The following is a 26222-nucleotide window of genomic DNA, read 5'->3' as shown; positions in this document are numbered from 1 at the left end:
TAATTATTCACCCGGCTGCCATTCTCCATAGTTAATTTACATTGTATCTTTTTTTTTTTTTTGCTATTATAAGCAGCATTGCAGGGAACATCCTTGAAAATAAATTTTAGTTCTCATCAGTTAGTGTTTCGTTACAATGATAATTTATTGAGCTGAAATTTCTGAGTTGAAAGGTAGGCATATTTTAAGTTAAGCATTTTGGGATTTTTGATTATCTTTAGCACAAATAAATGAAAAGGAATCTATATGAATATGCTGACATGTACCCATGAGGTTTCTTTAAAAAATCAACTTTATTGATATAATCAAATACAGCCACCTTAATTATACAGTTAAATGTTTTGGCAAATGTATACACTTATGTAACCACCACCATAATCAAGAAATAGAACATTTCCTTTACTCTCAAGTTCCCCTGTGTTCATTAGCAATTTCCATGTTTTGAGAACTGATCCCTTTTACTTTCAGTTTTCTTTTTAGAGAGATAAATAAAGTTTTTTAGAAATAGGCCATCCCATTACTAAATAAACTGTCTTCAGGCAGAAACTAATATTTATACATGTCTGTTTTCTTTTCTGCTAGAATCTGTGTCAGAAACCATTGACTTGAAGCTATCAATATTAAATGCTGCTTACTCTATGTGAGCTGAAAGCTGGCATCCATTGTGCTGTTGATAACAAGCCTGAAACTCACATGTCTCATGGGTTACTTTCACCAGCCAGCCCTGCCTTTTCAGATGTGTATACTTGACTTTCATTTAGATAAAAAAAAAAAAACACATTTAAGTAACTATAGCAGCCTGTTTCCCTGAGGGAGTGTTATACATCTGTCCAAAAGATGGGAAATTTCAGTTTTTGAATGATCAGGAAATTTCACTTTTAATCAAAAGTATAACAGTGAGTTCCTCAGACATGACCAAATATATTAGCATATAATCATGGAATATTATAATTTTAAAATTAAAATCTACTAAATATTTACAAGAAAACTAAGAGCCAACAGGATTAAATGGCTTGCACAAGGTCACAAAATTTAAGGTCCGTTGGAATTAAAACCTTTTCTAACAGGATAAATTACCCATTCTCCATAAATCTCAGTCTGCTAATTCCCAATCTCATGTTCTTTTCAGTTTCATGCTGCTACTCCGTATTAGTCAAGTTGTTAGGCATGACTTTTCCCAGACAGAGATTACAGAAATTACAGATATTATATTCACTGTACCATGAGAAAATTTTCAGGGCTCATACTTTATAGTATTAATCAGGTATCAGTTGCAAACCAACCTTGTTACATCTATCTTCATATTTATTTGGTATAACATACATTTTCCCAAATAGCACACTGTGCCAGAGGGGTTAAAAAGAACATGTGCAACATCTCTGCAAAATCTTACTCTTGCTGCCAATCAGCATAGAACAGAATGACCCAATTACCAGTTGGAAAGGAAGCTGCTGCATACTTTAGAGTTCCCTTGTGACAGAGTGGAAAGTCTCACAAGATGGTTTGAATTGTGTTACTATGAAAACTTATGGTATTTTTTCTTATTGCAGAAGTAAAGCATACCTATTTGGAAAGAATAAATAACAATTTTTAAAATAATAAATAAAATAACAATTATCCCTAATATTTAAAAATTGATTTCTACTGTTCACATTTTGGTGTACATGTTTCCAAACTTATAAAAATATAAAGCCTTTATTACTTTGATATTAACAAAACTAATACATGAATAAATTTCCTTCATGTTAGACATAGTAGGACATAGCAGTTAAGGGCACAGACTCTAGATTATCTTGTTAGCACCTGGGATCTGTCAATTATTAGTCATATGACCTTGAGTAAGTTCATCTGGCAGTGGCCCAGTTTCCTCATCTATAAAATGGTGATGATTTTAGTATTGGCCTTATGGGGTTGTTGCCAGAATATAATGAAGTAATATATATACATTATTTACCAGGAAACTTCACACATCATTATTACAATGTTATCACTATAAAATAATGAAATCAATATAGATGCACTGAAGATTCCCTCTTGCTTACTACCTCTCTCCCTAACTCTAATCCTCTGCAGAGATAACCCACATTATGCTTACAACAGAGAACCCAACCATTCCAATGTTTTGATCTCTAAGGATCTATTTATAGTAGTGGTCTGCTTCTACTAGATCTAGAGTATTAATCAAACACTTCAAGAGTCCCAAATCAGTTTTCTGAATGAAGTAAAATTTGAAGACAGTCAGGCATTGTTGGGCATAAGCTAAATTGTCTTCCTTGTTGGGAGAAAAGTGGCTAACTATAAAAAGGCCCAGCCTATTTTACAGGTTTAGATAGGGGGAAGAAAATGATCTAGGTGCTGCTCTGGCCAGTCTTGACTGTTGCTGACAAGGTTGGAGGCTGTAGTTTTTACACATTTCCACTATGGCCTGTAAAAGTTTATGTCTTTACTTGCATGAACAGGGATCAATAGAAACAGTTTCAACTGAGTTCCATCTCTATTCCATTTCAGATATTTTTTACTCTTTGAAACCCAGCCTCAAATATTTCCTGTCTTCGCTTTTCACCTCATGGTGATGTCATTTGTCATTCTCACTGTAGAATGAATGGGTCTCTACTCATGGCTGGAGACATGACTACTGACAGATCGCACATTTTCATCTTGTGTCCCTCCTTAATTGAAGAGAGAATACTTCTTTTTACCTAGTTCAAATTCTGGACAAAAGGGGTCCAAATGGGGTCAGGGTCTGACCTCCTGGATAATCAACTATGGCCAGAAAGAAGGGGGTCCTGTAAAACACGACAACCCCTGCTAGAAGCACATGCTAGGAATGGTAGAAGAGCATTTCTCATAAAAAGGAAGGTAGGAATGAGTGGAGCATGCTGCTCTTGTAATGATGGTAGGAGCTAAGCAGTCCATAGCACCACCATGACCTTTCTTAATTTCCGTCTGCTCTCTGCCTGCACATCACCTCACTTTCATTACTCAGCAGCATGCTGTGGGTGTGACTTTTGCTCTTGTATGCCATTGATGCCATCTGCTCCTGCCTTCTCTCCTTTGATGTCATTATACAGATGGCAAGGGCACAATGGGAAATGGCACTTAGTTCAATATGGTAGCTCAGGATACATCAAACCTGCCCTGCATCAATGCTGCTGATAACTAATCCAGCTCATGTGTAAGTCTAATAATGGAATAATTATTACATTTTGGCTTAGCCTCTGAAATCCCATCATAAATTATTGGAACTATATGCATCCATTTCAAAATATGCATCTTATACATTATGGGAGCTAAAATATGCGATTGTTTTAAATGTAATCTGGTAGATTTCTAAGAAATGATGATAACTTACTAATAGTCACCTACCAAGGTTCAGAAATTTTGTTGACATTATAAACAATGGAAAATGTCTTACAAATGTGCTTGTTAATTTGACCATGTAGGTGTCAGAGCTAATCAGTCAACAGCTACAGCTAATGCAGGAAAGAAGAAAAATTAATATTCATTAGACTCTTGTTTACACTTCTGTTGTCAAGGTCAATCAGTTTGCTTTAAGCACAACGTTTCAGTCTTATTAAAGTCATTAGTACCCTTCAGTATACAGAGAACACTTGGGTTTCATAAGTGTGTTTGATTCACACATCACTCCCATTGCACAGGGGCCCAGGTTTAGGCCATCATTTTCTGGGATTTAGATGTAGACCTTTATTTAGACTAACAAATTATCACAATAGAATAATAGCTTAAAAGTGGGACCAAAATTCATGTTTTTGGTAATATTCTCAATTGCAGAATCTAATAAGTATTCAGCTTTTCAATTTTAACACAAATATTACATATAACAAAGCAGTCACCATCAGGCCCTGGTAATGCAAAAAATGCTTCTTTGGTATTTCTGTTTACCTTTGTATCAAAAATGATTATTGTTAACAACTAAACTGTGATAAGAAATTTTTACTGAAGAACAGTGAATGTAGTTAGGATTCCATGAGTACAATATTAACAGTATAATTTTTTCTTATTACAAATAAAAAGATAATATTTCATGACTCCCCAAGTGTGGAACTATCGATTTGATGAAAATCCCAGCTTTACATTATTCCAGCTGACTCCTAAATGACCTGCAAGTCTGGGTCTCCCAGGCTAATAGTTTACACAGAGGAAGCAGGTCTCTGGAATGGCTCTTTCATCATTGATTATGCTTTTATACTTTATTATCCCATGGAGAAATCTGTTAAAAATTATTATTTTGTTATAATTACAGCATATATTATATTATTATAACATTATAATTATTATAATATGTTTTTCAACTTTTATATACATCTCCTTGGTATTTGGTTCCAGAGGTAGGAACTATAACGAATGACTCGCAAAGAATCAATACAGACTCCTAGTTACTTAAAATTCCCTGAAACCTATTTACTAGTCACTAATATGAGAATTAGACTCCACAGAAATAGTCTGTTTACTCTTTTGAGCTCAAAATGGAGCTGTGGTATTTGTAGTTTTCTTTTCTTCTTGTTTTTGAGATGGAGTCTTACTCACTCTGTCACCCAGGCTGGAGTGCAGTGGTGTGATCTCAGCTCACTGCAACCTCCACCTCCTGGGTTCAAGCGATTCTCATGCCGCAACTTCCCTGGGACTACAGGCGTCCACCACCAAACCCAGCTAATTTTTGTGTTTTTGGTAGAGATGGGAGTTTTACCATGTTGGCCAGGCTGGTCTCGAACTCCTGACCTCAAATGATCTGCCTGCCTCAGCCTCCCAAAGTACCGAGATTAAAGGTATGAGCTACCTCACCCATCCTATTTGTACTTTTCTTAATCCTGTATCTCAATGATTTAAACTGCTTTAGAATTATGTAAATATATGCCTCTTGACTACAACAGGTAGAACAAATAATATTTCTTCTGTATATAAATTATGTGTTTTTATGACAGTGAATGTTGAGGTGCCTCAGAGAATAAAGGATTCTTCAATAAGTGCCATAAGATAATTTAATATTAATTATTCTGAAACTAAAAAGTTAATTTTAGCACATTTTATCTAAAATTTAGTTAATACATAGTCAATATTATTCCTATAGTAGAAAAGTTAATTCATACTTTGGAGAGGTGAGGGCCACTGGTAGTCAATTAATTCTGGCCATTTTTTAAAAAGTTTCTTAAAAATAATTAAATATTCTGTTGGCATGCTCATGACATTTTATATAGAGGTGACGAATGACAAATAGGACTTGCAGCATAGAGTAATTTCTTCTGAGCATTAAGATATGGGGGAAAAAAGTAATCTCCACAATATTGTAGAAGTGTAGAGGATAGTACTTTGGGAATTGAATTAAACATTTATGAGTGAGAACAGACCAAATCTACAGCCAGATTGGAAACAGCTATCTATCTACCTGGAATCTTGGTTTGGCTTCTCAACTTATTTACTGTCTAAAACTGCACAGCCCAATACAGTAGCTAGTAGCCACATGTGGGTATTAAATTAATGTTTAACTTAATAAAAATGAAATCTAATAAAAAATTCAGTTCCTCAGTCACATTTCAGTGTTTAATTTCCATATATAGCTAGTATTTGCCATATTGTACAGTGCCAGAATACAATATTTTTGTTCCCTCAAAAATTTTTTTTGGACAATGCTGATCTAAAACTGAGGCAGTCCTCAACAGTCACAGAAATTATCTACTCTTCAATCATGTTCCAGGAAGTTTTTATTTCAAGGTAGCTTAATTAAAATACCTTTGACTCCTCGTCTTCAAAGATCATCCCCAAACAATAACAGGAACAAGAAACAAAAACACATATTCCATTGCCAATGAGACAAGAGATGTTTAATTCAAATAAAACATGAACACAGAAAAAAGATGGAGTCATCATAAATGATGTAGCAGGTGGGAGGAAGGTCCACGTCTAAGTGAGTGTGGATGTGTGTGCACACATTTGGAGGGTGACAACCAGGAGCAAGCAGATATTTTGTATAGACCTGAGACAGCCTGAGAGATTGGAGGTAGGTTCTGAAAATGGGATCATTTCTTGTCACTTCTATCCTGCACTGTCACAGTGCTTCCTTTACTCTACTCCAGCAGGAAATTGGATGTTTATTCTCTAGATTAACCAAAGTAGAGGTTCTGGATTGGAAACACCAGGCACAGCAGACAGGTAGTGGAAGGCAGTGGCATACTGACAACAGTATAACTAGGTGAATAAGAAAGTTCTGAATGTTGATAATCCTGTTTCCTTTCCCTACCCAGCACCAGAAGAGCACCAGCAGCCAGTGTATTTATCTTTTCTTGTCACCACTTCATCTCCCAAATAGGAGCTGGAATCTCCTTTTGTGGAGACAATAACTCCAGAGAAAAGATATACTAATATTGACATAGAAGATTCACAAGTAAAAAGCCAGCTGCCTCTCTATTGCCCTGCAGTGTAACCCACCATCATACAACGCCACCCTTGTACAAGAAGATGTCAGTCAATTTCTTAGCGCTTCGCTCTTGAACATAAAAGGACAGTCAGTGATAACCAGATATTTGAGGATAATCTCCAAGAAGAAAGAGACCGAAACAAGCAAAGGGAGAAAAATAGAGCTCACGAAAAAAAAAAAAGAAAAGAAAATGTAAGAAGAGGAAAACTTCAAAGAAAACACAAAATATAAGAGAAATATTGCACAAATAAAACAAGAATGAGATACTATTAAAATAAATACAATAAATGAGAAATTTAAAATATAAAAGTAAATAGAATAAACCCAAAGAAGCTTTGGAAGATAAAGATGAGAAAATCTCCCCAAAAGTTAAACAAAAACAAACAAACAAAAACAAATAATAGGGGAATAGTCAAGAAAACTAGAAGTGCAATATCTGATAAATAGAAGTTCCAGGGGGAAAAATAAAGAAAATAATGAGAAAGAAATACGAGAATATTTCTCAAAACTGAAAGATGAGTACTAATACAAAGCATGAGAAAGCTATACCCTGGCATGTGATTGTGAAATTTCAGAACATTAGAGACAAAAAAAAATCTTGAAAAGTGGTTACATTTTAAAAAAACAAGAATAAGAAGTAAATTAATCTTATTCAACAGAAGCTCTGTCTGGTTTCTAGGCAGAATCTAGAACAAACAGGTTGTGTATGTTACTTTAAAATATTGATGCAAATGCCAGAGGAGAAAATGAAAAAAGCCAGAAATTACTCTGGGCACAGGAATGAAGGGTGGGGAAGAGAGGCAACAAGAAATGGCTGGGTTTTTATTAGAAGCCTTTTTAGCACTCTGACATCTAAAATTACTTGAATGTACTATATGCTAAAAAGAAATGAAAAAACCCTTTCCAAGAAAATAACCTCAAATTATTTAATATTCAATTCTTATCAAACTCTCAGTTTAGAGAATAAATACATAAACAAACAATTCTGGGGCCCCAAACCTGGGAACTACCCAATTATAAGGTGTGTGTGTATATATATATATATACACACACACACACATACACCTATATATATATACACACACACACACACACACATATATATATACCTTATATATATACACACACACACATATATATATACAGGTTATAGTATGAAGTGAAAAATAGTAATTAATAAGTGTATGAGCCTTTATTCATGGTTGGATTTGAAAACAGCACAAAATGCATAGCTATCATGAATACAATACAACCGTGCCTTTTATAAAGCAACTATAGTCACACTTCAAATCTTACCTTCAGAATTCACAATAAAGACTCCTGAAATCATTAAGCATGCAGAGAAAACTACCTAATTGACTGGCAAGAAATACTTTTTCATGTTCAATTTGTCAAAGATGACTTAATACCAGTAAAACCTAACATCTTGACCATGACATTTTAGGATGTCAATAGTTATACAAAAATTCTAAGAGTAATCTTTTTTAGGGTGAATTTTCTGGAAACTGAGATTTACTAAGAAGAAAAATCCGAATATATTACCATTGAAATCTTAAAACTCCTGTGTTTCCCACCATGTCTTCCAACAGAAAACTGGTGATTTCTTAGGACTTTAATAGTATAGCTGATGTTAGGTCATTAATGAGGGCAGATTTAAAATGGAAGCCTGAGAATGTGATTTTAAGTGTATTTTTTCTCCTCTATATAAGAGTTGTAAAATGGAAATCTATCAATTACCTGCTTAAGAATCTCTCGTAGCTTCCTTTTGCCTAGCATATAAAATCTGAACTGAATCTTTTATTCAATAACTGACATCAATGTTTTCTTCTTTTCTCATTCTTCTTAATACTTTTTCAGCTCAAGTCAGACTATTTTCAAGTCTGGATTTTTTTTTCAGCCCTACCTTTGTATTGTCATCCATATTGTCTGTCTGCCTGAACCTCTTTATTTTTCTATCAACCCCTATTTTTCTCCATCTTAAAGCTCTAATTCGTAGCCCTGCTCTAGGAGGCCCTCCATGATTGATACTAACTGTGGCTGTTGTTTGGTTCTTGGCTTGGTTGGTTTTTATTACTCTGGGCCCCCTCTTCTAGCTCTTTTATTAATACCTCAGAGAATAGTTTGCAAAAACTATGGCAACTTTACTAATATTTAGCTTTCATCATGGACTTAATGGCAAATGAGTGACAAACTTGTCTCCCTTGACAGTAGGCATGATTTCTGCTGCCTATTGAATTTCAATGCTATTGTGTTCTATTTAAAATTACTAAAACTCTCATTTATCTATGAAGCCCTTAGCCCCACAGATCTGCCTCATGTGCTCAGTTTGTCTGTTTTATAGTGTCTGTGCTCCTCAGGAGTCTAGATATTTTGGCCTGTGAAAACTTTCTCCCCTAGGGGTTTTGATGACACCATTTTATGGTGAGGTGTCTCCTCTGGTAAGTTCTGAATATGGTGACACATACATTTATTAAATTAATTTTTAAAATTAGAAATACATAAACATGTTAAAAATCTCAACTGTTGTATAGTGAAATGCAATCTTCCTTCCTCTTCTTCCTCCAGTCTCCTAGTTTCCCCGTCCAGAAGCAGTTACAGTTGTGTGCCACCTTCTAGAAAAATTCACTGCATATACAAGAGAGGGGGAGAAAGCTATGGATTTTACTGGTTCACTTAATATATTTGGAGCTTGTGTCCTATCACTCATATTTTTAAGGACATATAGGATTCCACTTTTTGAATGTACCTTAATTTCTTTAACCAGTTCTGTACTGATGGGCATTTATCATATTATCACTTTTCATTCTTATAAGCAGTACGTATACAGTTTTGAAAATGTAGATGATATCTGTTGCATAGACTACTAAAAATAAAGTTGCTCAGCCAAAGGGAAGCACATTTTAAATTTTTATGAATTTGGGTAAATTTCCCTTCAATGAAGTTGCATCAATTTCCATTCCCACCAAGAATATGTGACAGCTGTATCTGGCAAACATATGTATTTCCCTGGAACTTTGATCTATTTGAAAGAAGACTAGGAACACATTTACAGTACTGTTACCAACATCTTCTTCACTTTTGATTTTTCTGTAATTCTCCCTGCCAAAATTTAACAGAACGCTGTCATTTTCCTGACTCATCGTCCTTTTATTTCCACTTTGTAAAAATGTCTGTGTTTGGTTTTATGTTTTTAGGGGTGGCATAGAATCTTCCACCAGAACCCTGGAAGTGTAGGTCAGGATGTTAGAAATTCTTCTAATAAATAGTGTCCAGGAAACACTTCATTAGAGTAATTCTCTGGCACAGGGAGTCCTGGGTGGTGGCTCTTGTGACAAGCCCCTTTACCTATGGTATGTTGGAAATTTAACCACAACCTTAGGGCATGCAATGATTGTCTTTCCTTTAGGTGTTTAACTCATATAATGTCTTAAAGATAAATGGCACCAGTAATATTTTAACAATGTTCGGGTATCCTTTGTTTCCATAGTTACCTGGGTTTCTGTTAGCTTAAGACTTTAGATGTGTAGCTTCAAACTCTGGGTTCTTCTTCAACTAGGTCAAGAGTTCACACATTTTTCCACCCACTGGGCAGGCAAACCAAGTTGTAATTGTTGCTTATGAAGAGGATCCTCAAATGGTACAACACTCAATTAGGTTAGATTAAATTCAGAGCAATAAAATATTTCTGAGTATGTTCTCAGAGAAACCCACATCTTAGTTTTCCTTATCTGAGATCATCTTTACCAGTTAAGAGGGCACACTTCAAATAATACAAACATTCTTTATAAATTCATTATTTCCTAAATCCCTTCCTAGTTTCAGTTTTGATGAGCTCTTTTCATAACTCTAGGTACTTTAGATATGCTTCTCTCAGCCTCGATTTGGCTTTTAGGCTAAAGGGTTTTCCTAATCACAGCAAGTGGGTCAAAAATTAGGATAGGCTTCCCATGAAAGACTAAGTACAATAATTGAACAAAAGGGGTGAAAGTTGATTAAAGTGATGCGAGGAGTAAATGGATTCACTTTTACAGGATCTTCTGAAATCTGAGATAAAGGACTGACTCCTTGGCTAATCTCAGTGCAATTACCTACTCATGGAGATCAATACTTTTTTACTATTAAAAAATAGTGAAAATTTTTAAGATTGGTTAAGGAAGAGTAATGTGTTATTAGGGGAGGCAAGGAAAACTTAGATCTAATTTAGATTTCTATGAAAACAGTGGGCATCAATAGGAGAACATAAAAAAGAGACGTGAGTATTAGGAAAATACCAAAAGGTTTGGTTAGAAACAAATCCTCTTGTGATAGGAGATAAGACTGAAGACCAAACAGAAATTATAACTGCATAGATCTTGGTTTTATTCATTCATTTGCTCATTCAGCCTGTTCACTGGCTCCAACATAGCTCTTGATTCTATCCCATGTGACATATTCATTGACCAACCATGTGTTTTGGACAGATCAGCAGCTAGAGATCCAAAAACGACTGGTTAGATGGAATGTCTTAGGAAATAGTGTCATCAGTGGTGTACAAAATGGTATTAAACTTTCCCTGGATGATGGATTAAAGAGAGAACAAATTAAAGGCATAGATATAGCCATCTGCTAATCAGGGTTTCACAAGGCATCTGTACCTTAGGCCATTCCTTTTGGGATTTCCACTTGCAAAAAATATAGTGAAATAAAACTTAAACTGAATAGAAGAAAGAATTTCTTAGACTCATTCACATTCAATCAATGTTTACTGAGTGCCTAATATGTGCCAAATATTATACTAAAATGCCGAGGATACAGCAGAGGGACAAAAATTCCCTGCATTTGTGGTGCTTACATTTTACTGATACAGTTAATGAAGATCATAAAAATTTTAAACACTGGAGCAGTGAAGTGAGATTAGGAATCCCTGTGCCTTTAAAGATTGAGAGACTATCATTTCCTTGGAAAGAATTATGTATTATCTTGCATGTATGTGTGAAGGCAAATGAGTAAAGGAAATGCTTCTTCAGCAACCTCTTTCAATTCTCTAAAGTTATTTTCATTACCTAAATATTAAAGAGTGAGAAGGACTTGAGGGGAAAAAAAATAAAGCTTTTTTTTTGTTGTTTTTTTGAGACAGGGTCTCACACTGTCACCAAGGCTGGAGTGCAGTGGTGCAATCTCAGCTCACTGCAGCCTTGATGTCCTGGGCTCAATCAATCCTCCCTCCTCAGCCTCCAGAGTAGCTGGGACCACAGGCATGCGCCACCGTGCCTAGTTAATTATAAAACTTTTTTTAGAGATGGAGTTTTGCTGTGTTTCCTAGGCTGGTCTCAAATTCCTGTGCTCAAGTGATATGCCCACCTCAGGCTCCCAAAGTGCTGGGATGACAGGCGCGAGCCACTGCACCTGGCCAAAATAAAGCTTGACCTGAGTTGATATGAGGGTGATGAGACTGAGTAAAAAGCCCATAGGATTCCAGCCTGTGTTCATGTAAGTATTCAGAACAAGATAATCTCTGCTACTCTCTACACTACTTTGATTTAGGAGTGACTGTACTTGGCTTTAACAACCTCACTTAGGAGAGATATTGAGAAAGCCAAATATGACAACATGTGGCTATTCAGCATAATGCAGAATCTGAAAAACACAATACGTGAAAATTGATTCAACAAACTGGAGGAGATTACGTGTTTGTTCTGAGGCTATGTAAGCTTGAGTCATGGTTCTGCTCTTTGCCCTCCGTGCAACCTTGGAATATTTTTACTTTATTTCTTTGTTCTGTTTCCTCACATATGAAACAAAGATAATAACATTGCCTACTATATCAATTAGTATAATTATAGCTTCAGGTAATGGAAAAGCCAGGTAATTTGGCTCAGTTCACAAAGACGTCACTTGTTTACTTAATGAGAAATCTAGAAGTACATGGCTTAGGGTTAGTCTGGTGGTTCCACAATGTGAGGATTCTAGGTTCTCTATGATTTTCCCGACTTTACCTCCACTGTTGAAAATGGCAGTGGTGGCTCCAGAAATCTCATTTTCATAATTTCAAGTCCAAAATCTGGAAGAAGTGAGACCAGGTGGGGGTGTAAGACAGAGAGAAAACCCTCCAAACATGTCTCTCTTCTTTTCAAAGGAAGAAAAAATGTTTCCAAGAATCCCTCTAGCAGATGTTCTTCTATGCCTTCGTAGCCAAAATGGAATTCCAAGGCCACTTCTAGCTGTAAGAGAGGCTGGGAAACAAAGTATTTGGTTTGATATCCTCTTTAGCTGGAGAACAGGCAAGAAAGATGGCACTAACAAAGCTGAACACACCGGCATTGCAAAGGCTGTCTACCAATTGCTTAAGTCCGATGAGATAGAATACATGTACAAGTAGGACAAAGTAGATTATTATTTTATCACAGATTTATTATAGGCAGCAAGGATAAACAGAAGCCTAGAAACCAGAGCAAGCCAGCTTCCTAAGGCTCAGGAAAGCTGCCCAGGGTGGATGGAGTTCCGTGTGTGCATGTCCCATGTTGCACCACAACTGAGGGACCCTGAAAAGCATGCTGCCCTGGGTTTATATAACCTGGGTGACATTTGGCACGCTAAGCTCAAGCATTGCAGAACATCCTGTTCTAGGAGAAACGAGGACACAGTTTGGGTTGTTCTGGGCATTTCCTCCTTATCTCAGGATGTTGAATTCTCGGTACATTCTGCCTGAGAATTACATGCAAGAGAGGGAAGATCTGGGTCAGCCAACATGATCTGTCATCTGGAGACCTGCCCTCTTGTACATCTCAGAATATTACTGTAAATATTAAGTGGGAAGAAACGTGAAATAATTTCCATGGCATGTAAACATTCAAAAATGATAACAATTATTTGTCATCTTTATTTGCACAGAAGAAGAAGCATTTTAATGGAGAGACTTTTTGTGATGCGTGTACAGAGGACATTATTAGTGAAATAACAGCAAACTTGCTATTAATGAGATCTGCTCAAAATCTCTATGAGGTAGTGAATGCCCCATCATGAAGATTTTCATGCAGAATTGGGATGACCTCTGTTCTTCAGGTAGGAACTTGGATTAGATATGTCTAGGATTTCTTCCAGTTGAAGTTCCTGTGATTCTACAATAGGGTAGTCTGAGGATCAAGATACAAATTTCTTCTCTTATCTTAAAATGGACTTAATTTGCGTTTAGATAAATTGCAATGTTCTGGCTAGATCCAAATTTCTAAAATGAGGAATATTAAAAGTCTAACCATTACAACTCTACTGGCCAGTGTGATTCATGCATCATTTTCAGAGAAGAGAATAGCTGCTTAGATACTGAAAGGTACAAAATGATAGTATTTTCTCTTGTTTAGAGGTACAGAATCCACTTTATTTTTAGATCTTGACATTCTAAATACTTATATCTCTTCAAGATAAAAAAAGAACATTGTTTATTTTAGTCAGTATCTTTCCCTTTCTCATTTGTTTATACATTCTTAAAATAACCATATAGTTCTCATTTATCAAACTTCCCTATTGCATGTACATTCTTTCTTCCTTCGTTAGGATTTGGTAAGAGTGCTATGAATGTGTTAGAATGGTGTAAATGATACTTGCTGTGTATGATTTTTTCCCCCTCCCCAAGCCTGCCAGGGGAGCGAGGTGTTAAATCTCATGAGATTCTTTTACCAAGTCCAAGTTTTAAATAAATGAAACTTGTACAGACTCCAACATACCATCTTGAGATAACCTCAGGCCCTGAAGTGTATCGACAAGCAGAATGATCTCAGCCAAGTTGTAAAACTGTCTTTGAAAAGAATAGCTGGATGAAAAACATTAGCAGCAACTGAATCAAGAGAAAACGTGACTTCAAACTGAAAGGCACTCTCATGGTAAATACATAGTAAAACCATGTTCTGCAACTTCATATTTTCGTAATGCTTTAAGCTACCCAAGGAGCCCATGCAGATATGCAAAGCTACTCATTGAGAAGCTCAGCTTATCCCTACATATGCCATCACCAGTTTTTCACTTAACGTTTTCTCCTCAACCCCTTTCTATTTGGCTTCCATTCTACTACTCACCAACCACCTTCAGTTTGCAAAATCCTATGCAGATCTTACCTTAACTTTTCAGCATCATTCAGTAAGGTTAAAAACTTTTCCTTCTAGATGGTTTTGGTGGCACCAGAGTCTTCTTGTTTTCTTCTTTCTTTTTTAGCTGCACTTTCTCAGTAGTATTTGCTGGCTCTCCTTCCTTTACTCCAACTCTTACTGTTGTAGTTTCACTGATCTTGGATTGAGTTCCTCCCTTTGTTTTCCTATTTATACTCTCTGACTAAGGTTCAAAATTGTCTTTATCTGTTGTAAAATCTGTGTTTCAAGACTAGAACTTCTCCTCTAAATCCCATCTATCTGATGACTGATAGATTTCAGACTGAACATGCTTAGAATAAAATGCTTAGCCATGGCTGTTCCCTGCTCCCTGGCCACAGTTGCCATACACCTTCATCCTTCCTCAGTTTTCTCATGGTAAATGTTACCATCATCCACTCAGTTAATAATACCTGAAACCAGGGAAATGGTCCTGAAATTAGTCCTTTTTTAAATATCACCTTCACATGTAGCCAATCAGCAATTCCTACAATTTATATTCCAGAATATATGTCAAGTCCATCTACTTTTTCCACCTCCACCGCTGTCACCTAGCTCAAGCCACCATCATCCTTCACCTATTCTATTGCAGTAGCCTCCTAGAAGGTCTCCTAGCTTCCTTTATTAGCCCTGTACAAGCCATTCTCTGCATGGCAGCAGAATAATCTTTTAAAAACTGAAATCATACCAATTACTCCTTACCCAAAAGTATTGAAGGGTTCCTGTTGCATGTTGAACAAAATCTACACTCCTTATCATGGCCTATGGAGTGCTTCATGTTCCCAACCTTGGCAATGTTTTTTAACATGCTACCAGTTCTTTCTGTTTCTTACTAAGTCCAGCTCACATTGACCTAACACACTAACCTCTTTCCTGTCTCAGGCCCTTTGCCCTTGCTGTTACCTCTCTTAGAACATCCTTTGTTGCTTTGCATAGCCCATTCCTCCTCATTCTTCATTTCTCAGCTTAAATGCCACTTCATCAGAGACGCCTTTTTCAAAAACTTTACCTAAGTTTTTATTTGTTTTTCTTTTTTCCTGAGCTGATAGGAAGACAACTCTGTTATCTTTAGGATTTCAGATGCTTTTAGAATCAAACCTGGAAAGGATACAAAAAGCAGAAGCAAAACCAACATTTGGGAGAAGAACAGATTAAGGTGAGAAAACCTCTCTTGAACCTTTCAACTTTCTAACAAATACGATAAATTCTGAAGCCACTAGGGATCTGGCAGGTAACTAAAATGAATGTGATGAACTATGTGTAGGAAGCTTGAGAGTAGTGAACTAGAAACCAAGTGCCCATGTAAAGATATCCAATATCTAAAACATTGTTCATGACAAGCTAAACGAGGGATGAATCTGGCTTTTGAGTTGCTAGTTTAAGATCCATATGTAGACTTTTTTCTTTCGTTGGATAGTTAAGAATATTCTTAGGTATATAGGCATCATTTTAAACTTCCGTATGCACATACCAAAAATCATATCACAATCATTTGATCAACATTGTTTATTGGCCCTTTAGATGTTTTTCTTTTTTCTATCAAAGTTTTTTGAGAATTACAAATGTTAATATTACATAAGCAATATTTATCGAACCTAGTTTCCAAAAAAATCCTTACGTGCAAGCCACAGCACTTGAAACTGATGTTCAAGGAGGTCCATGGAAGAATTTGAAGCAGGGGAATAATCTTTTCTCTTTAGGTCATCACATTTGTGTCTTAGAAAAATCATTCCACAGCAGTGTGGAATAAGGATTAGAATGAGAGGAGGCAGGGAAAGTGACTAGAAACTATTGTAGTAATTTAGATGAGAACTGACGAAAGCAAAGGCAGTTAGATTGCAGACATGGAGAAAGAAATAATAAGACTAGAGAATCTAGGTGAAGAAAAGCTACAACAGGCAAGTACTAAAGTTGTAAGTTTGCTAACAGTTACGGTAAAATGGGAAATAAAAGATGTTATTCAATAATGATTATCTAGTAGAAGATTACACACCAGTCAGGAAAATCAACTTTTCTTGGACTCCAAGAGGAACACAGTATGTCACACTATAAAGGAATATTGCCCTACAAGGGACACTTGGCAAGAAAATGGCCATTTCTTATCACAGCACCTGATGAAAAGCAAGGGTAATATATTAGTTCATAATTCAGAGATGCAGGTCCATAGAGAACTAAAATAATATCATATAGGCATGTTTTTATAATTTAGCTAATATGAAGAGAGAACTTTAAAAATCTAGGAGATGAATTAACAGCATGTTCTTTAAACCTATGTTTTCCAAACTGCAAATTATGACCTACAATTTGTGAGATCTAGATAGTAGGTTACCAACAGCACTTTAAGGAATGAAAAAATGGATTTCATATGTATTCATATGTACATGTGTACAAATAGAGTATTTGTATTAAGGGTAAGTACTGTAACATAAAACTTGTGTGTGTGTATATGAGTGTGTGTGTGTGCATGTGGAAGTGTGTATACCTGTGGCTGAATACATCCCTTACTGCACGTTGTAGTAAAAACAAGTTTGAAAAGCACTGCTTTAGACAATTTTCCAGTATGTCTCCTCTTGACTACGATTCTGTCTGAGATTGCTGTACAGTGTAGAAGGGTGAAGAAGCTCTGAGCTGCTGTTTAAAGGCAGATTTGCAATCATACCTCTTTAGAGATTATGAGAAAACTGACGGCCTCCTAGTTCCACTTGAAGTTATGCCCAGATGGAACCAGTTCCTCTTCATAAAACACTTCAAAGCAGCTAAGGCAGGGCAAAGTCCATGGATCTGTTCAAATGCTGAAACAAACCCTTTGTTGAAGCTACTGAATCCTGTCCCATAGACTCAATGTGGCCAACTCAGAAGTTTAATTTTAAGTAGGAGCACATCCCAGTCAACATACCAGAATGTACTGGTGTTGAGATACATGTAGATTAGGGCCACCTCCCAGAATTCCCCCAAGTGTGAGACAAGTGAAATAAATGTGTGAATACAATTAGGTGGATAAAAACTAGGGAGTAGCGGGGACATAGTGAATTAGAAAGTGTGTGACTTTCTAAAGCTGTTCAGCTAATACACAGCTCCAGTTCATTGTTGTGTGGGAATGCATCTCAGTGTTTCCAGTCCTCCCCAATTGTCAAAAGACCCAGAAATCCAGAATTTTTATGTAAAATAATTAAATATTGGCAACATATCTAAACATTTTAATGATGTATTACAGGACAAAAAATTCCATGGGCAAGATTCATTCCAGTGGCTCCTGATTTTGCCTCTTTTCACCTAGATCAGATTTTTTTTTAAATCAGTGAGTTCCTTTTTTTGAATAACATTTGTGTAGAAGTCTAATAAATAAACACATGACCAAACAAAAACACTCCTCTTTCGGGGTGGGGTGAGGCTGGAGCCACAACCACTTGCCTCTTCTCTTTCTCTTTAGCCCTGCCCCAGAGATCCCCCTGTTCACAAAATAGAGAAACCACAGATCTAAATGCAAAAAGTATGGTCTCTTTGTGATAAGATTCTTTTTTTCTTTAAATTCAAATTGGCAATTTGCCAGCAGGTTCCATTTTTCTTGAGGATATTCTTATAATAGTAAGATTACATCATCAGCATAGGGAAGGATGCTTGTCTCTATGTTTATCTATATGTTGGGGCATATATAGGAGAAAATATATAGATCTTTTGAGCCAGAATAAATTACTTAGGCAAAAATTATAAATAAAAATGTTTAGGTGCAGTCTGGTTTTAAGCCATTTAAAATTAGAATTGACTCTTTCAAAATCCATTCTGGTATTGCCATATTGATTTAGATAAACATTTAAAATCTGAGATCTACACCAAAGTCATGTAAGTTGGCCCACAGAGCAGCCTGAGATTCCTTGTGGAATAAGGCAGAATGTAAACAAAAAGCCCAGAGATTGTCCTTATCTATGGAATCAAAAGCTGATAATAGATCACAAAATACCTGGGGAAATAGAATTTTTCATAACTAAATTCCCATAAAGTGAAGGGGATAGGACTTTGAGCCCCATAGCTAAATGACATGTTCAAAATCTCACTGTTAATTAGTCATGATGTGGGACCAAAATCTAGCTTTTTTTTTTTTTGAGACAGAGTCTCACTCTGTCACCCAGGCTGGAGTGCAGTGGAATGACCTTGGCCCACTGCAATCTCCACCTCCTAGGTTCAAGCGATTCTTCTGCCTCAGCCTCCCAAGTAGCTGGGATTACAGGTGCCCGACACCACACCCGGCTAAGTTTTTGTATTTTTAATAGAGATGGAGTTTCACTATGTTGGCCAGGCTGGTCTCAAACTCCTGACCTCAGGTGATCCTCCCACATTGGCCTCCCAAAGTGCTGGAATTATAGGCATGAACCAATGTGATGGGCCTATGGCTCTTTTAATGCTCTTCCCATCTCCTTAATATGGTGGCAGAAATGGAAATTGACATACATTGAAATATTATTTATTCTTTTCATATATGTCCTATACTATTTATTGCAGAACTATCTTCTATCTACTTTTCTGAGCACAAAGTTCCTCAAAATAAAAGCAGCTTTTGAATAGAGATAATCTATCGATATTTTCTCTCCCTTTTCTTGCCTCCTGCCCACAATCCCCTTTGTGCTAACTTCTGCTGAACTCTTGACCTTGGGTAAAGATGCAGCTTTGCGTGAATTTTCGAAAGTGACTTTTGGTGATTTAGCTGCTAAATGTGTATGATAGAAATCCAGCTTACCTTGGAGGCTCTCAGGGTTTTTAATTTACCATGCCAGAAAGCAGACCAGTCTGGGGAAATTCAGCTAATGTCTCCCAGCTGTGCAGGAAAAGTGTGAACGGCTCTGTCAGAAAAGCTGCCTCTTTCTCTTCTTTTCCAGACAGTAGCTTATATTGAAACATCACTTCTCATTTGCTGTTTGGACAATGGTGATGGAACTGCTGCTTTATTGCCCACGGAGAAGCGAAGTGAAGAGTCTAAAGTGGGTCTTGCAGTTACACTGGACAAAAGAAGTTTGAAACTGAGGCTTGGTCCTGAAGAAAACATAGAGAAGCCTGACAGATTATATATATTCACAGCTTTGACTTAAAGGTTGCTGGTTGACCAATAAGTAATACAAGAAGAAATGGTCTTTTCTGGAATTGTCCTTCTTTCCAGGTGAGCAAATTAAATGCCATCACTTAGTCCTGGGAGCAAGCCAGCATTTCTTGGTGAATTTCCAAAGCATGTTTGTTAGAATGTTGGAGCTGCTGCATGATTAAGGCTGTTAGAATAAGTGACAGAAACTTAGAAGGCAAAAACTTTCAGAGAGAAATATTAAATTTCAGCCACAGGGCAATAATTGTCAACCTTAATGCTTTATCAAAAAGCAGATACTGAATGACTACCTATGCTTAGCATGATTTGTAGCAAATACTGTTGGTTGCCTCTTGGGCAGCTGTTCCCTTTACTTCTTCTTTCCTCTATCATGACCACCTGTCATGATAGAGGCCGAAAATTTTGGAGACTTGCTTTCCCAGCTTCCTTTATAAGGAGGGTTACTCATGTGACATAATGCTGACCCATGAAGGAAGTTTGGTGGCTTCAGAGAAATATTTTTCTTCATGATTAAAAGTTATATAAAGAGGGCCAGGTACGGTGGCTCATGCTTGAAATCCCAGCACTTGGAGAGGCTGAGGTGGGCAGATTGCTTGAGCCCAGGAGTTCCAGACCAGCTTGGTCAAAATAGTGGGACCTCGTCTCTACAAAAAACACAAAAGTTAGCCAGGCAGGATGGTGCACACCTGCAATTCCAGCTACTTGGCAGACTGGGGCAAGAGGATGGCTTGAGCCTGGGAGGTCATAGCTGCAGTGAGTTGTGATTGTGCCACTGTACTCCAGCCCGGCTCGCTTCATGAGAGTAGTGACTTCCTCAGTTTTGTTTATGGTTATGTTCCCATGCTTACAATAATGCCTGGTATTTAGTACTGTCTCATAAAATTTACTTACTAACTGAATGATTGCATGCAAATATTTGTGAGTGACTGTGATGGTTAGAACTGCAGCAGCCATTTTGCAACCTTGAAGCAACCCATATGACAGGAGCCAGCACCCTGAAGATGGCATAGTGGAAGGTCTTTGATGACACCATTGAACAACTGAGACAGACTTGTGGAAAATTACCTCTTAACTTCTTGTAATATTATATAACAAATTCCTAATATTTAACTGCATTAGTGGCCAGGCATGGTGGCTCATGCCTATAATCCCAATGCTTTGGGAGGCCAAGGTGGGAGGATCTGTTGAAATCAGGAGTTCAAGACCAGCCTGTGCAACATAGGAAGACCCTGTCACCACAAAAAAATTTAAAAATTAGCCTGATGTGGTGGCACGTGCCTGTAGTCCCAGCTATTCAGGAGGCTGAAGTGGGAGAATCAACTGAGCTGTAGAGATGGAGGCTGCAGTGAGTCATGATTGCACCACTGCAGTCCAGCCTGGGCGACAGAGCAAGACGTGTCTCAAACAAACAAACAAACAAATAAATAAGTTGCATTCATTTATTCATTCAACAAATATTTATGGAGTATCCCTTTTGTCCTAGACTTTGTTCTAAGCTCTAGGGATACAGCAGTGAATAAAACACAGTTCTTATATCCATTTTAACAGAAAGCGACAGACAATGAACATATTCATTGTGTGATTAGCACAATGGAGAAAAAGCTAAGTGAGGAGAAATAGAGAGTGCCAAGCTGGGGAGGGGTTATTGTTGCTGTTTTACATAAGGTGATCAGGGAAGACCGTAAGGAAAAAGTGACATTTAAGCAGGAATAAAGGAAATGAGGGAGGGAGTCATGCCACTATGTGACTTGAAATAGCATTTGGGCAGAGGGACGAGAAATGTAAATGCTCTGAGGTGAGAGCTTGCATGGTGTGTTTGAAGAATAGAAGTGGCCTGTGTGATTAGACCAAAGCCAGTGAGTGAGGAGAGTGGTAGGAAAGAGCTAATGAGGTAGTGGGCAGCCAGCTCAGAGGAGACTTGTAAGCATTGGAAGGACTTTAGCTTTAATCTGCATGAGATGAGAAGCTATTTGGGTGAAGGGACATTTAAGCAAAGGAGTGACAATCTGATACATTTTTAAAGGATACCTCTGGCTGTGGTATTAAGAATAGACTATAGGGCTTGAGTGGAAACAGGGAACCGTTTAAGACTGAAATAACACAGGCAAGAAATGATGGTGGTTAGATCAACATGAAACGGTGAAGGTGGTAAGTGATCAGATTTATACATATTTTGGAGGTAGAGCCATATTTTCTAAAGCACTTTAGATGAAAGACTATGACTATATGCTTTTGTTTTCGAGATTTTTAAAAATGTTATTTGCCCACTCACTCCCTTGCTCATCCACTATTTACCAAAATGTTCCAAGGCATATTTTCATAAGCTTTTTTTTTAGTAATTTGCCACTTTATATTTAGCATTAAACCATCCTTAATGATGATTATTACTTCTATAATAATCACTTTTGACCCCAGAAACATTCCTGAGAAGAAAGAAAACTGCTTATGAGGCCAGGTGTGGTGGCTTATGCTGTGATCCCAATGCTTTGGGAGGCTGAGGTGGGAGGATTGTTTGAGCCCAGGAGCTGGAGACCAGCCTGGGCAACAGAGAAAGACCCCATATCTAAAAAAAAAAAAAAAAAAGCAAAAATCACCCAGGCATGCTGATGCACACCTGTAGTCCCAGCTACTCAGGAAGCTGAAGCAGGAGGATTGCTTGAGCCCAGGAATTTGAGGATGCAGTCAGCCATACCACTGCACTCTAAGAAAGAAAGAAAGAGAGAAAGAGAGAGAGAGAGAGAGAGAAAGAAAGAAAGAAAGAAGAAAAAATTAAAAAGCATGCTAATTTTATCTCATATGCACAATTTTAAAGTATCCAGGTCTACTTTGGATTTCTTTCCAATATTGAATGCTAGAGCTTGTTATCAAGTTAATTTATAGAGTCCCAAGTCTTTAAGAATTGAATTACTTAAGATGGTCTTGTCAAACTTTCTATTTTAAAGATCGAGGAACTGAGGCTCTAACAATTCCTGCGAGCTTTGGTTTTTCATTAGCATAATGAATTAATAGTGCTAAATGTTCCTCCAAGGGCACCTCTATTTAAAAATTTAAGTTTATTATAGTGTCACACTTCCTTTAAATATCCCAAGCCAGTACAGCTTGAATTCCATTTTGCTTGACAGACATCAGGAAATCCGTATGTTGACAATGTTTTCTTTCCCAATTATTTCAAGGAATACTTGAGGAATGCCTATATGTTCCAAGATCCAGAATGGTTGTCATTTGTCATTTCAGCCAACTGACTTGCTCTGACCACAGGCCAAGGCAATATAATTATTGCTGTTCTCTTCTTGTCGATTTTAGGCCACCTTCTTATTTTTAGTAAAGACAGCACCATAACCTTCAGTGAGAGTTTCCTAAGGTCTGGAGGATAGTGCAGTGTGATTCCAGTGAAAAGTGACTGGTTTGATTCTGTCAGTCCTGTGAGTTCACAGGTTTAAGTTTTTTGATTGTGGGTCACTATTGGGTTCCTCTTTCTTTAGCTCTTTTGCTTGGCTTTAGTGTGGTTATGGACATATGACTATGCAAAAGGGATGAGTTTAGTTGTCCTAAATAAAGTACCCAAAACACAGCTACCATATCTAATATGACAGTTATATTAGCTTCCTGTGGCTGCTGTAACAAAGTACTACAAGTTTGGTGGCTTACAACAACACAAATGTAGTCTCTCACTGTTCTAGAAACTGGAAGTCCAAAATCAGATTTCACTGGGTGGAAATCAAGGTATCAGCAGGTCTGCGTTCCCTCTGGAGGTGCTAGGGGAAAATTTCTTACCTCTTTCAGCTTCTGGTGACCAACTGTTTCACTGCCTGACTCCAGTCTCTGCCTCCATGGTCACGTTGCCTCTTCCCCTTCTGCCTGTGTCAAATCTCTCTCTGCCTTCCTTTTATAAAGATGCATACTGTGTCATTTAGGGCCTAATTCGATGATCTCCCACTCTTAAGATCCTTAGCTTAATCACATTGGCAAAGACTCTTTTCCAATAATGTAACATTTACAGATTCCAAGGATTAGAACCTGATATCTTTGTGAGCTATTATTCAGCCTACAACTGTAGTCTTTGGTGTTATTCCCCAAATGTTTCCAATTTGTACTCTTCTGGGCAATGGTAATATTGCACTACCTGACTACCTTTGGTTGGGTGGAGGATGCAGCTAGCTATGGCCACTGAGTAAAAGTAACTTGTAACTCATGCAGGCTAAAGCATGTAATTGTCACTGTAAGAACTCAAGAGCTTGACCCCTCTGCTGTGAGCTAAACAATTTTTGGAATGATGGCTGTACCATCAATCCAAGTTCTAGGGAAAAAGACAAGGAATAGAGTCGCCTGATGACCTGTGATGACATAAAGGATGAGCAGGGAATAAACTTGTGCTATTAAGAGTCTCTAATTTAGTTTTTGTTTTGTTTTATTTGGTATTTATGTGATATACCTTAACTTAAATTGACTGACACATCCAGAATCTAAGCTCCCAATAACCTGAAGGTCAGAAAAGTGAAAACAGTTTTTCTTTCACAACAGTCCAAGACCTGCCTCCCAAATGATTACAAGTGAGAAATTCCTTTGTTCATTTCTCCCAGAGAAAATCCTGTTACCAACTCACATCAGAACTCAGTAACTGATCATTAATACATTTCCAAAAATGTGGGGGTTTTCTAAATTAATAATGGCTTTATTGAGATAGAATGGGATATAATTCATACATCATACAATTCACCCTTTTAGCATATATAATTTAGTAGTTTTTAGTATATTCACAAAGTTGTGCAATCATTACCATTATCTAATTTTAGAACATTTAATCATCCCCAAAAAACCCCCTATACTCAATTAGCAGTCACTCCCATTTATAACTCCCTACTTTCAGCTTCTTCCAACCACTTTCTGTCTCTATGAATTTGCCTATTCTGGACATTTCATATAAGTGAAATCCTACTGTTTGTGACCTTTTCCAACCAGGCTCGTTCGCACAGTGTCTTCAAGGTTCATCCATGCTGTAACATGTATCTACACTTCATTATTTTTTATGACTGAATAATATTCAATTGTGTGGATACACCACATTTTTTCATCCACTCATCAGCTAATAAACATTTGGGTTATTTCTACTTTTTAGTTATTGTGAATAGTGCTCCTATGAACATTTGTGTACAAGTTTTTATGTAGACATATGTTTTTAATTCTGAGTCATTCAATCTTGGAATTACATGTGGGTCATGAACAGTCCAACCTAGACCCTTTTCAAAATCTCTCCCCCAGTTCGAGATGATAGGAAGATTAGGCTACATATCTGTAGTAACAAACTATAAATTTACACTTAAAACAACACAAATTTATTATCTTTCAGTTCCGGAGGTCAGAAGTCCAAAATGGATTTCTCTGAGCTAAAAACCAGGTGTTGGTGGGTTCTAGAGGGTAATCTCTTTCTTTGCCTTTTCCAGCTTCTGGAAGCTGCCTGTATTGCTCGGCTTGTGGCTCACTTCCCTCTTCAAAGCCCCCTGTTTTCTCACGCTGCATCACTGTAACTCTGACTCTCTCTTCCACATTTAAAGGACTCTTGTGGTTACATTTGGCCCACCCAAGTAATCTAAGATAATCTCTTTATTTTAAGGTCATCTAATTATCAACCTTAATTTCAACTGCAATCTTGATTCTGCCTTACATGTACCATAACATAGCATATTCACAGATTCTGGCACAGCCACTTTGTGCGGGGCATTATTCTGCCTATCACAATATCTTTTAGCTGTCTTGGAATCTCTTGTCCTAATCCTTTAGGAATAATTGTTTGAAAACACACACACACACACACACACTTCCTAAGGAAAATACAGATAGAAGACAGTCTAAATCAATACCTTAAAAAAAAATTACCTGTTGTGAATGCAAAATATATAGCCACTTTAAAAGTAGTTTGGTAGTTTCTTACAAAATTAAGCATAGGCTCCAGTAGTCATACTCCTTAGTATTCACCCAAACGAAGTGAAGACCTACATCCACACAAAACCCTTCATATGGATGTTTATAGCAGCTTTATTCATAATCATCAAAATTTGGAAGCAATCAAGGTGTCCTTCAGGAAATATAAATAAATAAATAAATAAATAAATAAATAGGCCAGATGCAGTGGCTCACGCCTGTAATCCCAGCACTTTGAGAGGCTGAGGTGGGCGAATCACCTGAGGTCAGGGGTTCGAGCCTGGCCAACATGGTGAAACCCTGTCTCTACTAAAAGTACAAAAATTAGCTGGGCATGGTGGCGGGCACTTGTGATCCCAGCTACTCGGGAGGCTGAGGCAGGAGAATCACTTGAACCTGGGAGGCGGAAATTGCAATGAGCCAAGATCATGCCACTGCACTCCAGCCTGAGTGACAGAGCAAGACTCTGTCTCAATAAATAAATAAATAAATAAATAAGCTAATGAACCACATAAAGACATGGAGGAAATTTAAGTGGATAATGCTAAGTGAAAGAAGCCAATCTGAAAAGGCTATCTATTGTATTATATCAAATATATGACGTTCTGGAAAAGGCAAAACAATGGAGATAGTAAAAAAGCCAGTGGTTGGGCCGGGCGCGGTG

At 37.2% G+C, this 26222-nt stretch overlaps 1 long non-coding RNA gene across 1 annotated transcript in view, besides 1 other annotated feature; it reads left to right on the top strand.

The window, feature by feature from the left end:
- Positions 673–742: a silencer, noted in NCBI's record as "silent region_14155". NCBI's record gives its function as "represses an Ori minimal core promoter by ATAC-STARR-seq in GM12878 lymphoblastoid cells {active_cell/tissue: GM12878}" and the evidence as "EXISTENCE:reporter gene assay evidence [ECO:0000049][PMID:35858748]".
- Positions 15500–26222, top strand: part of LOC105377008 (uncharacterized) — a 47784-nt gene continuing 37061 nt past the window's right edge. Inside the window, exons 1-2 of the long non-coding RNA XR_940674.3 lie at positions 15500–15706; positions 19422–19699. This is a non-coding gene — a long non-coding RNA (uncharacterized LOC105377008). The remainder of the gene's footprint in view (positions 15707–19421; positions 19700–26222) is intronic.

This window comes from Homo sapiens, chromosome 3, assembly GCF_000001405.40.
Source record: "Homo sapiens chromosome 3, GRCh38.p14 Primary Assembly".
Classification (NCBI taxonomy): Eukaryota; Metazoa; Chordata; class Mammalia; order Primates; family Hominidae; genus Homo; species Homo sapiens.
The sequence above is the reverse complement of the archived record's forward strand: the minus strand, read 5'-3'. Positions and strand labels throughout refer to the sequence as shown.